Below are 11,528 nucleotides of genomic sequence, written 5' to 3'. Positions count from 1 at the left end.
CTCTGAATCTTGGCCCAGAAATAACCCTGTCCTTCCCCGTTAACTCCTCTCATTCCAGTGCCTGAGCACCTCCCCCTACCAGGTATATCTGTATCAGGGTATAGGTGCACACAAGCTCATGTATACCTGGGCGTACAAGGGCCCAACATGGCCCACGAGTACAGGATATTTAAAGGCCCTCACAAAACAATGACAGGCTTCTAAGACACTTGTCTCTTACTTTCATTCCAACACAAATTGAACTATACTAGGCTTTTGCTTTTTTAGGCCCTAACAGAAATTCCGTGGTTTAGGAGATTAGGTACACCCTCACCACTCCACAGGGAGAATGGCCTGAACGTCAGAGTGAACCCCTGACCCCTTTCCTCTCTGAATGAGGCAAAGCTCAGACTTCACCTCTACCCCTAAACAAGGCACCCAAACACACGTCACAGTAAATAAAGGACATCCAGAAAATATCACAGGCAGAGGTACTTTATTTGGCAATTTTAACATGACACGTAGAGAAAAGAACCCTGCCCTCCTTCACCAGCCTCCCCAGAAATCCCACCTTCCTATTTCAAGACAGAGTAATAACAGCACCATTTTACACGAAAGGGAACAGCCACAGCCTTGGCACCATTTCTGGTTCCACTTTCCATGGAAGGGCAGAGAAGCATTGCTCAAACCCCACCACTGGGTCAGAAACCAGGCAAACAGCAGCAGTCACATCTGACCTTTTGCACACACGAGAGCCCGACACTCATCCTGGCTCCCAAGCCTTCCCAAGGTGACCCTGTCTCAGCCACCATCATGCAGCTCTTCTAGTCCCCTCCCGGCCCACTCTGAGGAGCTGAGCAATGATGAGCAGAATCTTCATGTCTCTGGCAGGCGGAGGAGGGTTCCTGAAGTGGTAGAGATGCTGTGCAGGAGAAAGACAAGGCTGGAGCCAGACGCCTAGGCTCAAGCTGTGAGGAGAACTTAGAACTTGGGAAGGGGTGCTCCCGGGTTCCAGAGAAGAATGAGAGCCACTGGCCTTCACTAGGAAACTAAGCATGAGCTGGGAGGAAATCCCACTTTGGGTCATTGCTCCATAATCTGCCAGAGGCCAGGGAAAGACTCACCAGTCCACTAGCTGGGCCCCAATGAGGTCGTGCACATGGTAGGTGAGGCCAAGCCGCACCACGACAGGCACCCGCCGGCCCAGGAGCTCTGATAGGAGCAGCTCCCGGTACTTTGCCTTCCGGACCATGCCAAGGACAGCCTGGCGCCCTAGAGGAGAAGTGGCACAGGAAAGGGGAAAGGTGAATAAGGCCTAGAGGCCTGAGGAGCCACCAAAAGGTGAGGGGCTGCAGGCTTGAGCTGCAGATGGGATACCTTTAACAAAGTACTTGTGCATTTGGTCTGAAGACAAAGATGACTGCAGGAGTGGGCAGGCCGGAGTGGGGTGACCTGGCCTGTGCCCAGGAAGGAGGAGGAGTCTGCAGCCCTGTGGGCTTCAACATCCATCAAGGAGTCCAGAGCAGGAGCCAGGCCAGGCGGGAGGGAAAGGCCCTGGGAGGGGCTCTCTAATCTCCCAGCCCCGACTCTGCCCCGTCACTGCCGCTGCTCCTCATTACTCGCTGGGGCTGCTGTCGCCTCCCCGAAGGGTGGCCTTGTCCAGATAGTGGCAAACCTCCCTGCCGTGGATGAGTCAGGAGCATTTTCTTAAGAGGAACATCACTGGAAAACAAAATGAGCGGGGACACAGAAACCAACAGCAGTGGCTGCATTTGTGGTACAGGCTCCTCTTCCAGAGCTCGCTGATGCCCACCTCAGACAGGCCTGACCACGGCACGGCTGGTGGGATTTGCCAGTCACCTCAACCAGCCAGTTCCACCCTCAGCTTCTCTCAGAAGGGAGCACCACACTCCTCAAGCTCAGTGAATGTATCCCGGCATGGGTGGGGCCAGAGCCTGTGATATCTCGAGGTGGGCTCGGCAGGACACCGGGGTGTGGAAGGGGGAAGCGAGCACCTGACTCAGACAGCGCGGGAGCTCGCAGGAGTCACGAGGCCACAGCGACTTCATTGTCTGACTGGGCCTGGACCTATAAACTTCCCACCTCAGCCTTGGGCCAAGCCTGGAAGATAAAAATGGAGCACCCCATGGCGCCCCTCACTCAGATTCTCCCCTGGGCTTCTCCCACGCAGCCCCAGAAGAGGACACACCAGCCCCAGAGTTAGCCCCAGAGGCCCCTGAGCCTCCTGAAGAGCCCCGCCTAGGAGTGCTGACCGTGACCGACACAACCCCAGACTCCATGCGCCTCTCGTGGAGCGTGGCCCAGGGCCCCTTTGATTCCTTCGTGGTCCAGTATGAGGACACGAATGGGCAGCCCCAGGCCTTGCTCGTGGACGGCGACCAGAGCAAGATCCTCATCTCAGGCCTGGAGCCCAGCACCCGCTACAGGTTCCTCCTCTATGGCCTCCATGAAGGGAAGCGCCTGGGGCCCCTCTCAGCTGAGGGCACCACAGGTACCACCAGGCGTCTCCGGCCTCTAGCCTAGGACTCAGAAGGGAGAAACGGGGGCTCAGAAGGGGTGGTCGCAGGGAAAGAGCGTGAGGCGGGTACCAGGGAGAGAGGATGGATGGGCTGGATGCGAGTGGCCTTTAGCTCTGCCCCACAGGACCCCCCTGTGGCTGCAAGTCCCTGGTTACAGATAGAGAAACGGGGGCAGGGAGGGGGGTGGAAGGGACGTGCTCTGGGTCACCAAGCTGGTGTGCTTCTGTCTCCAATCCCTTCTCCCCCACCCACTCCGTGCAGGGCTGGCTCCTGCTGGTCAGACCTCAGAGGAGTCAAGGCCCCGCCTGTCCCAGCTGTCTGTGACTGACGTGACCACCAGTTCACTGAGGCTCAACTGGGAGGCCCCACCGGGGGCCTTCGACTCCTTCCTGCTCCGCTTTGGGGTTCCATCACCAAGCACTCTGGAGCCGCATCCGCGTCCACTGCTGCAGCGCGAGCTGATGGTGCCGGGGACGCGGCACTCGGCCGTGCTCCGGGACCTGCGTTCCGGGACTCTGTACAGCCTGACACTGTATGGGCTGCGAGGACCCCACAAGGCCGACAGCATCCAGGGAACCGCCCGCACCCTCAGCCCAGGTAAGGACCCACACACACTCTGCCCCAAAGTGGGGGTCTTTGTACTTCACGGGGGGGACCTAGTGCCTCAGCCAGCGGTGGGGGTGGGCGAGTTGGTGGTGGGCCTGGAGGAATCTGCAGAGCGACTTCCATTCCTGGGGACTAGAGGAAAAGGGGTGGTGAGCCTGTGCTGGAGCAGAGGCGAGGGGGGGACTCGCAGGGAGGAGCCTCCCTGCCCCTGCCTGCGTCATTGTTCCTTGACCCCTCTGCAGTTCTGGAGAGCCCCCGTGACCTCCAATTCAGTGAAATCAGGGAGACCTCAGCCAAGGTCAACTGGATGCCCCCACCATCCCGGGCGGACAGCTTCAAAGTCTCCTACCAGCTGGCGGACGGAGGTGGTGCCTTTGCCATGTGCTCATCGCCTCGCATTTCCTCTCCCCCCTGCACTCTGCCCACCCTCCAGCCGCCCTGGGGTTCCCTGGGTAACCCTCGATCCCCAACGTTTTCAGGGGAGCCTCAGAGTGTGCAGGTGGACGGCCGGGCCCGGACCCAGAAACTCCAGGTGGGAGTCAAGAAAACGGCATGGGTGGGAGTTGAGAGAGAACGAGGAGGGTGAAAGGGAGGTGGTGGAGGCTCCGATTGCGGACGGGAGGCCAGTGGAGTCTGGGGAGGCACGGAGTAGAGAGAGCCGCGGGGACCCTTCTGAGCCCCTCCCCTTCCCCCAGTTCCTGACGGTCCCACACAGTTGCGTGCACTGAACTTGACCGAGGGATTCGCCGTGCTGCACTGGAAGCCCCCCCAGAATCCTGTGGACACCTATGACGTCCAGGTCACAGCCCCTGGGGGTGAGCAGGCCTGAGGCCTCTGGAGGGGACTTGTTCAGGGTGGGGATTGCAGGGGGGAGGCTGGACTCTGGCCGAGGATGGAGGGGGCAGGCCTTGATGCCCCTCTCTACACTCCCAGCCCCGCCTCTGCAGGCGGAGACCCCAGGCAGCGCGGTGGACTACCCCCTGCATGACCTTGTCCTCCACACCAACTACACCGCCACAGTGCGTGGCCTGCGGGGCCCCAACCTCACTTCCCCAGCCAGCATCACCTTCACCACAGGTAGGGTCTGTGGGGTGTGTGGGACAGGGAGAGGAGGTAGAGGGAGCCAGGTTGGGCCTCATCCCCATCTCCTCTTCCTGCTTTCCCTCCTAGGGCTAGAGGCCCCTCGGGACTTGGAGGCCAAGGAAGTGACCCCCCGCACCGCCCTGCTCACTTGGACTGAGCCCCCAGTCCGGCCCGCAGGCTACCTGCTCAGCTTCCACACCCCTGGTGGACAGAACCAGGTGCCCCGGCCCCACTGACCCAACTCCCCTCCCTGGGTGATTCCAGGAGGTGCTGCCTCTGGCCCTCCCGGAGGGTCTCCACCTCCCTCTCCCCTGACCCCCCCTTGTCTGTCCCACAGGAGATCCTGCTCCCAGGAGGGATCACATCTCACCAGCTCCTTGGCCTCTTTCCCTCCACCTCCTACAATGCACGGCTCCAGGCCATGTGGGGCCAGAGCCTCCTGCCGCCCGTGTCCACCTCTTTCACCACGGGTACCTGGACGCACGGGCCCGGGGCCGGGGGCTGGGTGGGCAGCCAGGGCCTAAGGCTTGGAAAAGGACTGGCCCCTGCTCTCCTCTCCCAGGTGGGCTGCGGATCCCCTTCCCCAGGGACTGCGGGGAGGAGATGCAGAACGGAGCCGGTGCCTCCAGGACCAGCACCATCTTCCTCAACGGCAACCGGGAGCGGCCCCTGAACGTGTTTTGGGACATGGAGACTGATGGGGGCGGCTGGCTGGTGGGTGGCATTGGGAAGCCCAGGGGTCTGTGCAGGGCAAGGGGCTGTTGCCCCGGGAGCCAGAGGCTGATGGTGCCCCCACTTGCTTCCCAGGTGTTCCAGCGCCGCATGGATGGACAGACAGACTTCTGGAGGGACTGGGAGGACTATGCCCATGGTTTTGGGAACATCTCTGGAGAGTTCTGGCTGGGTCAGTGCCTCACAGGGACTGGGGAACTACGGATGGGGATGGGGGCCCTGTGGACACCAGGACCCTGATGAGGGCACGTATCCCACCCCCAGGCAATGAGGCCCTGCACAGCCTGACACAGGCAGGTGACTACTCCATGCGCGTGGACCTGCGGGCTGGGGACGAGGCTGTGTTCGCCCAGTACGACTCCTTCCACGTAGACTCGGCTGCGGAGTACTACCGCCTCCACTTGGAGGGCTACCACGGCACCGCAGGTAAGCAGAGGCTGTGAGGCTGGGAGGGTGAGGCTGGGAGGGGAGGCCCTCATGGCTCCTTCCTCCACCCTGCCCAGGGGACTCCATGAGCTACCACAGCGGCAGTGTCTTCTCTGCCCGTGATCGGGACCCCAACAGCTTGCTCATCTCCTGCGCTGTCTCCTACCGAGGGGCCTGGTGGTACAGGAACTGCCACTACGCCAACCTCAACGGGCTCTACGGGAGCACAGTGGACCATCAGGTGAGGGGTGGGGAGGCGGCTCAGAGCTGGGGTGGCTGGGGCTCGGCCTGCCTAGGTTTCAGCCCCACAGTGTAACAGGCAAGGGACTGAGCGGCTGGGTGAAATGGAACAATCATGCCAGCCTCGCAGAGGGAGCTGGAGTTGATTTATTGGCTGGAAAGGACCAGCTCAGGATTAAGCCTCAATCCTCTGCGGCAGAGGGTCAGGAAGGGAGCTCTGCGGGGAGGTTGGTTGAGTGCTGGGAGCCACCTCCTTAAGGGGAACGGGAGGAGCAGATGGGACATCCGGCTTTGACTCTCTCTTGACAACCCCTTTCCCAGGGAGTGAGCTGGTACCACTGGAAGGGCTTCGAGTTCTCGGTGCCCTTCACGGAAATGAAGCTGAGACCAAGAAACTTTCGCTCCCCAGCGGGGGGAGGCTGAGCTGCTGCCCACCTCTCTCGCACCCCAGTATGACTGCCGAGCACTGAGGGGTCGCCCCGAGAGAAGAGCCAGGGTCCTTCACCACCCAGCCGCTGGAGGAAGCCTTCTCTGCCAGCGATCTCGCAGCACTGTGTTTACAGGGGGGAGGGGAGGGGTTCGTACGGGAGCAATAAAGGAGAAACTGAGGTACCCGGCTGGCATCGGTCCTGCCCCATCACTGGTTCTGGCCTGGGCTGTGGGCCCCCATCCCCCGGGGCTGCAGCCGCACTTGGAAAGGCTGCATCTTGAGGATGACACTGCAGTGGGGCAGGGGCTGCAGGGAGGGCAGGGCGTCCCCGGAGGGCAGCAGCGTGAAGGCCTGCAGCAGTCGGGTCAGCACCACGAAGAGCTCCAGGCGCGCCAGCGGCTCGCCCAGGCACACGCGGGCACCGCAGCCGAAGGCCAGAGCTCTGGAGTTCTTGCCTGGCTCCAGGAAGCGATCTGCGGGCGGGTGGACAGGTGGGTGGGGAGGCGTTCAGCGGCAGCGGGGACCAGCCTCCACCACATTTTCATGGCAGGCCCCCGGCCCCCCACATACCAGGCCAGAACTCATGTGGCCTCTCCCAGACCGTCTCATCCAGGTGGGCGCCTTGGAGGTTCGGAATGATGACTGTGCCCTCAGGGATGTCGTAGCCGGAGATGCTGAAGGGGGCTGGAGTTAGAGGCTGGCCAGGACCTCCCTGGGCTCGGGCTTTCCTCACTCATCCCCAACCCTCGGGAGTCACCTGCTGGGCCGTGTGGTGCGGTGGGGCAAGGCTAAGGGCACAACGGGCCACAGGCGCAGCACCTCGGCGATGGTGGCATTGAGCAAGGGCAGCCGTGCACGGTCCTTGTAGGGGACCCGGGAGCTGGAGGCACCAGGGCCCAGTTCGTGGTCTAGCTCCTCCTACAGTCGCTGCTGAATCTGGGGAATGATCGGGTGGAGTCCTGCCCCAGCAGCCCACAGCTGCCCAGCCTCCAGCCGCTCCCTCAGCAACCCAGTGAGCCTGAGTGCCGGTGAGGCAAGCACAGCCCCAGCCGCACAGTGCTCAGAGCTGAGTGAGGGTGCCCACCGCCCTGGCCAGGTTGCTGGGAAGGAGCCTTTTGCTTGTCCGCAGGACGCACCTCAGGGTGGTGAAGCAAAAAAAACCACGGCCCAGGAGAGGGTGTTTGCTGTGGTCTCAGTGCCACCGATCAGGAGGTCCACTGCAGCCATGTGCAAGTGCCCTTCCAGGAGCTGTCCAGAGCCCTCTTCCATGCTCGGCTGCGCCACCCCTTGGAGCATGTAGTCCATCATGTCCCTCCACTGGCCTGCCACCAGGCTCTCCTGCAGAGGGTGAAAGGAGCGGGCTGAGCGGCTGGCCTGGGGAGAGGAGTACAGAGTGGCAACAGGCCCATAACTGGGGTATGCAAAAGAACCCGCCTCATAGCAATGCTGAGGCCGGTAGCATCACTGGCTGTGGGCCGAGGGGAGGCCGTCCACACACAGTCCCCACCTTGTGCTGCCTCAGCTGCTTCTCCTCGTTGTGGTCCCTCTTCTCTATGGCCTGCTTCAGCCTCCGGAGACCTGGATTGGGGAAGAACTGCGGCAGGAAGCATGAGAATGCAGCTGTGGGAAGGAGCCTCTCCCTCCACCCCAGCCTCTCCCCTACAACCCAGGGGTGTCTAGGCTCCAGGTCCTCACCCTGAGAAAGGGAATCACGTCCACAATTTGGATGGACCAGTGGCTCCAGGTTTTTAACACCTCCTGGATACATTTGTAATAGGCAGGCATTAAGTTGTCCTCCTGCCAGGAAAGGATGGAGTACTTTCAGTTCAGGACAAGGAGAGGCTCAGGGAGGGGCTGGGGGTGGGCCTGAGGGGCTGTGAGGCACCTTGATCTTGTCTCCGAAGGTGAGGTAACAGTTGATGCTGCAGGTGAGGAGAGAGAATTCCTCCTCAATGGCCACAGGGGTGCCGGGCTGGGCTCTCATGCGCTGTGGAGAAACAGTGTGAGTTCAGCAGGCCGCTGTGCAGCGGGCAGGGCGGGGGCTACTGTGAGAGGCGAGGCTGACCCGAGGTGGCCTCAGGAGCCCAGCCTTACCTCACAGAACTCCTGGGTCAGCTGCTCCACCACTGGCTCCATGGAGTCACGGATGCCCAGCAGCAGGGCTGAGCGGGTGAGCTTCTTGTGGGCTTTCCAGAGCAGAGACCAACGACAGGTCCGGGTAGTTCTTAGACACCAGCTTGTCTGCAGGAGGAGCTGGGGGCTGGAGGGTGGGAACTGACCAAGGAAGCCGAGGGCCTGACCTTCTTCTGCCTCCTCAACACCTGCTTCTTCTCCTGAAGATATGCCCCCCAAGAGCTTCCAGTGACCTGGAGGATTGGGGAAGCCCCCGAAGGTGGCTCCCACTTGAGGCCGAGGTGGGAGGATCACTTGAGACCAGGAATTCAAGACCAGCCTGGGCAACATAGCAAGACCCCATCTCTAACAAAAAAAAAATTTGTTTAAGAAAGAAAAAATGCCCCCGGCCCTTACAGGTAAGTGGCTCAGGTCTGCCAGCAAAGTCTGCCCACTTTTTGACCATGGCTTCCTCAATGGTCCTCTTGGAGTTCAGCACCACCACATCTGGGAGACAGCCAAAGCAGCGTCAGCGGAGAGAGGACCCTCTCCGTCACCTCCGCCCCCTCCTATGGTGAGGGCCAGAGCGAGATCAGCCTCTCACCTTGCAGCCCAAGGTGGAGCCTGTAGATGGGCCCGAATTTCTGAGTCAGGCCAAGCAGATAGATGGGGAGGTCGGGCTGCAGCAGGTGCAAGAAGCCCGGGGCAAGAGGCAGGAGGTGGAGGCTCCGGAGCTTCCACCAGTTCCACAGCAGGCGGGCGCCAGCCAGCAGGGGCAGCAGCAGCAGCAGGCCCAGGAGCAGCATGGCAAGACGCCCGTCAGGGCCCTGAGGTGCCACTTATAGCTCAAGAGCCCCAGCCATCCCTCCTGCTGTGTAGACTGTTTTGGGGCCTCCCTTGACCCCACCCTCAGGTGCCTTCCCACCGACCCACCCACAGAGTGGCCCTTTTCTGGAATGACACCAGTCTCATTGGCCTTGGGACGTCCGTATTTCAAAAAAAATTAATCACCCATCGAGAAGCAAGGAAGGGAAATGCAACCCTGACCTTTTTCCTGCATCCAGAGTCAGCTTTCTGGTTCCACATCACCCGTGCAGGCAAGGGTGTCCGCCCCGACCTGGGCCCTCTCCCTCTGCCACCCCACCGTGGGCCAGTTTACTGGCATGATGTTTGTCTCAGAGAGAAAATGGCAGTCCCTGCCTAATAGGCCTTCCTGAATCGCCTGAAGAACAAAATGTGATTTGTGTGGGTTTGTTTGTTAGTTTAAGCTACAGATAGAGTAATACAGTTTAAGCCTGGTTTGCCTGGGGCATTCCAGTATATACAGGTATCCCAGTGTGATTGTTATTAGTGCCTCCTTTCACTCACAAAAGTGCCCAGAAGACAAAGGAGGAAGTGGTTTCCCGCTGCGGAGTAATAGCATGTACCAGACACTGCTCTAAGTGCTTTGTGGGCACTCACTCAACTCTTCACAGCCATGCTCTATATGCAACACGGGTATTGTTCGCATGTTGTGGAGGGCAGGATTCCAGCCTGGAAATCTAGCTGTCGAATATGTACCTTTAGCCACCAGGAGCACCTTTCTTTGGTTGAAAGGAAAACAGCCCACCTTGAGCTGGTTTGAGACAAAAAGTAAGGATTGGGGAATTTCACAGAACTCAGGAAAAAGAAGCAGAGGAGGGGACCCCACTGGTCTTAGAAAGCCAAGGATAGGGAACAGAAAAAGCCCCGGAGACGGGCAGTTTCCTCGCTCTGTTCCTCTCTCCTCTTTCTTCTCTCTGCAGTCAAGTTTCTTGTGTTTCCAGGCACAGGCAGAACATGACTGCCCTCAGGACTACAGTCCACAGGTTCTACTCCAGCCAGGGAAAGTATGGATTCCCAGCACAACTGGGCATGCCCCCCCTCAAAGTCCAAAGTCCCCAGGAAGGGGCTGGATAGCCACAGCTGGATCAGGATCAAGGGTCCAGCCCTATTTGGGGAACTGAAGCCATAAGGGGTGGGGGTCCCACTGGACTGACACTCAGAGACCACTTTTGTGAGTAAGGAGGCAGTTTGGGGATTTGGGAAGAGGCCATGCCAAAGAGGAGTGGCCGGGTTCAGTGAGAGGCCAGGGCCTCCTGGATGGTACCTGAGAGGTCAGAGGCGACCCAGCCCCATACCTTCCCCCCCATTTCTGGCTCTGTGCCAGACCCTCGGACCAGTGGGGGTCTCTCTCCCCTCAGAGCTTTTCCAGACTGTGCTACTGCAGAGCCAGAGTCAAGACCCTGGCTGTGCCACCCACTACATTGGCGAGTTCGCTGCTGCTGAATCCATGATCAGGACTGAGAGGGAGAAAACAGGATTGGGATTTCTGGGGTTGGGCAATGACAGCTACTGCCTTCTTCATGGTTGACCTCCCAGACCGGGCCAGGTCTTGCTGCAACTGAATCCCTGGCTCCGGAAAATGGGCTTATGCCACCACCATGCTGAGCAGCTACTGGGAGAAAGATCTGATGAGCAACCATAGGGCCATGTATGCAAGAGCCTCAGGAAACCTCTGCCACAGTGGGAAAGGCCCAAACTTCTCAAAGTTACGTGGGATAAGACAGTGCTCATCGGAAAGGAGCGCACCTGGAAGGCTGACGTGCTTACTACTTGTCTCACCATCTCCATCTCTTCCACCACTTCCAAATCCAAACTCCGAATGTGGTCAATTACATGCAATGTCCCCAAAGGTACCCTGTCCTGCCCCCGGCCTCTGGGCCTTTGTATATTCTCCTTCTGCCCCAGATGCCCTCATCTACCCCTGCTCTTTTCCTGGCTCCTTCTCAGTCTTCAGAGCCCCACTTGGAGGCCACCTGCTCCAGGAAGCCTTCCCTGTCCCTGCCTGGCAATGCCCCTGACTTGGTTAGATGCCCCACAGGACCACACTGCTCCCTGACATCACATCTTTCACAGAGGGTGGGGACTGCCCGTCCTCTTATCTGTCTCCCCAGCGATGAGCCCTGGAGTGAGCAGCTGTATCTCTGGCACCTGGCACAGGGCATGGCATGAAGTGAAAGATTCCCGAATTTCTGTCGAATGACTGGATGGCAGGCTGCTGAACTGTCATGACCTCTACGGAAACTGATCTCACCAAACTTCTTTGGACAGACGCGGAGTCATCTCTGAAGACCCCAGGTGTGCCACTAAATGGGGGAAAGTTAGGCAGGTCCGGTGGGAAGGGGAGACCCCAGGAGAACAGCGGCTTCCTCAGAGGATTCACAAACACACCAAAGTCAGACTTTTGGCTTGTTTGAAACCAGTAACTGGAAGAAGACACTGCCGGACCTGAGGATTGCACAACTCCGGGAAAGTCACCTCATTCCACTGATAACAGAACCAAGCGTCAGCAGGCTTTC

General features: G+C 59.6%; 3 pseudogenes across 2 annotated transcripts, besides 19 other annotated features; 1 reads left to right on the top strand and 2 right to left on the bottom strand.

Annotated features, from left to right (window-relative positions):
• On the bottom strand, positions 459 to 1,253 carry WHR1B (winged helix repair factor 1B (pseudogene); annotated as a pseudogene).
• Positions 1,375 to 1,647: a non allelic homologous recombination region, noted in NCBI's record as "sub-region TNXA/TNXB-3, recombines with sub-region TNXA/TNXB-3' within the tenascin XB recombination region". NCBI's record gives the evidence for it as "EXISTENCE:restriction fragment detection evidence [ECO:0001124][PMID:12354783]".
• Positions 1,375 to 5,770: a biological region, named in NCBI's record as "tenascin XA (pseudogene) recombination region". NCBI's record gives its function as "recombination_partner: LOC106780803".
• Positions 1,620 to 6,223, top strand: TNXA (tenascin XA (pseudogene); annotated as a pseudogene). The gene is made up of 13 exons (NR_001284.2): positions 1,620 to 2,491; positions 2,781 to 3,116; positions 3,368 to 3,490; positions 3,605 to 3,657; positions 3,821 to 3,940; positions 4,059 to 4,202; positions 4,296 to 4,426; positions 4,546 to 4,678; positions 4,771 to 4,922; positions 5,016 to 5,112; positions 5,205 to 5,366; positions 5,444 to 5,607; positions 5,928 to 6,223. The product of NR_001284.2 is annotated as a tenascin XA (pseudogene) (transcript).
• Positions 1,647 to 3,596: a non allelic homologous recombination region, noted in NCBI's record as "sub-region TNXA/TNXB-2, recombines with sub-region TNXA/TNXB-2' within the tenascin XB recombination region". NCBI's record gives the evidence for it as "EXISTENCE:nucleotide sequencing assay evidence [ECO:0000219][PMID:10207042]" and "EXISTENCE:restriction fragment detection evidence [ECO:0001124][PMID:10207042]".
• Positions 2,819 to 4,337: a meiotic recombination region, noted in NCBI's record as "meiotic double-strand break mapped by DNA meiotic recombinase 1 chromatin immunoprecipitation followed by single-stranded DNA enrichment and sequencing in the germ cells of some male individuals with PRDM9 A/A and PRDM9 A/C genotypes". NCBI's record gives the evidence for it as "EXISTENCE:chromatin immunoprecipitation-seq evidence [ECO:0000229][PMID:25395542]".
• Positions 3,294 to 3,306: a nucleotide motif, noted in NCBI's record as "nucleotide motif; similarity to the predicted 13-mer PRDM9 A binding motif (LD hotspot motif), CCNCCNTNNCCNC".
• Positions 3,323 to 3,338: a nucleotide motif, noted in NCBI's record as "nucleotide motif; similarity to the predicted 16-mer PRDM9 C-type binding motif, CCNCNNTNNNCNTNNC".
• Positions 3,378 to 3,390: a nucleotide motif, noted in NCBI's record as "nucleotide motif; similarity to the predicted 13-mer PRDM9 A binding motif (LD hotspot motif), CCNCCNTNNCCNC".
• Positions 5,521 to 5,770: a non allelic homologous recombination region, noted in NCBI's record as "sub-region TNXA/TNXB-1, recombines with sub-region TNXA/TNXB-1' within the tenascin XB recombination region". NCBI's record gives the evidence for it as "EXISTENCE:restriction fragment detection evidence [ECO:0001124][PMID:15081125]".
• CYP21A1P (cytochrome P450 family 21 subfamily A member 1, pseudogene) lies at positions 5,734 to 9,007 on the bottom strand (annotated as a pseudogene). Its single transcript, NR_040090.1, has 8 exons — positions 8,131 to 9,007; positions 7,922 to 8,023; positions 7,732 to 7,833; positions 7,544 to 7,630; positions 7,173 to 7,374; positions 6,794 to 6,972; positions 6,607 to 6,710; positions 5,734 to 6,509 (listed from the first exon to the last, which is right to left on the bottom strand). The product of NR_040090.1 is annotated as a cytochrome P450 family 21 subfamily A member 1, pseudogene (transcript).
• Positions 5,991 to 7,051: a meiotic recombination region, noted in NCBI's record as "meiotic double-strand break mapped by DNA meiotic recombinase 1 chromatin immunoprecipitation followed by single-stranded DNA enrichment and sequencing in the germ cells of some male individuals with the PRDM9 A/A genotype". NCBI's record gives the evidence for it as "EXISTENCE:chromatin immunoprecipitation-seq evidence [ECO:0000229][PMID:25395542]".
• Positions 5,991 to 8,817: a biological region, named in NCBI's record as "CYP21A1P recombination region". NCBI's record gives its function as "recombination_partner: LOC106780800".
• Positions 6,841 to 6,842: a non allelic homologous recombination region, noted in NCBI's record as "sub-region CH-8, recombines with sub-region CH-8' within the CYP21A1P recombination region. This sub-region is marked as 3' partial since the 3' end of the sub-region is unknown". NCBI's record gives the evidence for it as "EXISTENCE:nucleotide sequencing assay evidence [ECO:0000219][PMID:22156666]".
• Positions 6,844 to 6,956: a non allelic homologous recombination region, noted in NCBI's record as "sub-region CH-3, recombines with sub-region CH-3' within the CYP21A2 recombination region". NCBI's record gives the evidence for it as "EXISTENCE:nucleotide sequencing assay evidence [ECO:0000219][PMID:22156666]" and "EXISTENCE:restriction fragment detection evidence [ECO:0001124][PMID:12560361]".
• Positions 6,958 to 7,188: a non allelic homologous recombination region, noted in NCBI's record as "sub-region CH-5, recombines with sub-region CH-5' within the CYP21A2 recombination region". NCBI's record gives the evidence for it as "EXISTENCE:nucleotide sequencing assay evidence [ECO:0000219][PMID:22156666]".
• Positions 7,197 to 7,563: a non allelic homologous recombination region, noted in NCBI's record as "sub-region CH-7, recombines with sub-region CH-7' within the CYP21A2 recombination region". NCBI's record gives the evidence for it as "EXISTENCE:nucleotide sequencing assay evidence [ECO:0000219][PMID:20970527, PMID:22156666]".
• Positions 7,578 to 7,831: a non allelic homologous recombination region, noted in NCBI's record as "sub-region CH-2, recombines with sub-region CH-2' within the CYP21A2 recombination region". NCBI's record gives the evidence for it as "EXISTENCE:nucleotide sequencing assay evidence [ECO:0000219][PMID:22156666]" and "EXISTENCE:restriction fragment detection evidence [ECO:0001124][PMID:12376740]".
• Positions 7,954 to 8,238: a non allelic homologous recombination region, noted in NCBI's record as "sub-region CH-1, recombines with sub-region CH-1' within the CYP21A2 recombination region". NCBI's record gives the evidence for it as "EXISTENCE:nucleotide sequencing assay evidence [ECO:0000219][PMID:22156666]" and "EXISTENCE:restriction fragment detection evidence [ECO:0001124][PMID:12376740]".
• Positions 8,239 to 8,289: a non allelic homologous recombination region, noted in NCBI's record as "sub-region CH-6, recombines with sub-region CH-6' within the CYP21A2 recombination region". NCBI's record gives the evidence for it as "EXISTENCE:nucleotide sequencing assay evidence [ECO:0000219][PMID:19624807, PMID:22156666]".
• Positions 8,344 to 8,351: a non allelic homologous recombination region, noted in NCBI's record as "sub-region CH-9, recombines with sub-region CH-9' within the CYP21A2 recombination region". NCBI's record gives the evidence for it as "EXISTENCE:nucleotide sequencing assay evidence [ECO:0000219][PMID:22156666]".
• Positions 8,521 to 8,817: a non allelic homologous recombination region, noted in NCBI's record as "sub-region CH-4, recombines with sub-region CH-4' within the CYP21A2 recombination region". NCBI's record gives the evidence for it as "EXISTENCE:nucleotide sequencing assay evidence [ECO:0000219][PMID:11134109, PMID:1905948, PMID:22156666]".

Source organism: Homo sapiens, chromosome 6 (genome assembly GCF_000001405.40).
Source record: "Homo sapiens chromosome 6, GRCh38.p14 Primary Assembly".
Classification (NCBI taxonomy): Eukaryota; Metazoa; Chordata; class Mammalia; order Primates; family Hominidae; genus Homo; species Homo sapiens.
This window is presented reverse-complemented; position numbering and strand designations above follow the sequence as displayed.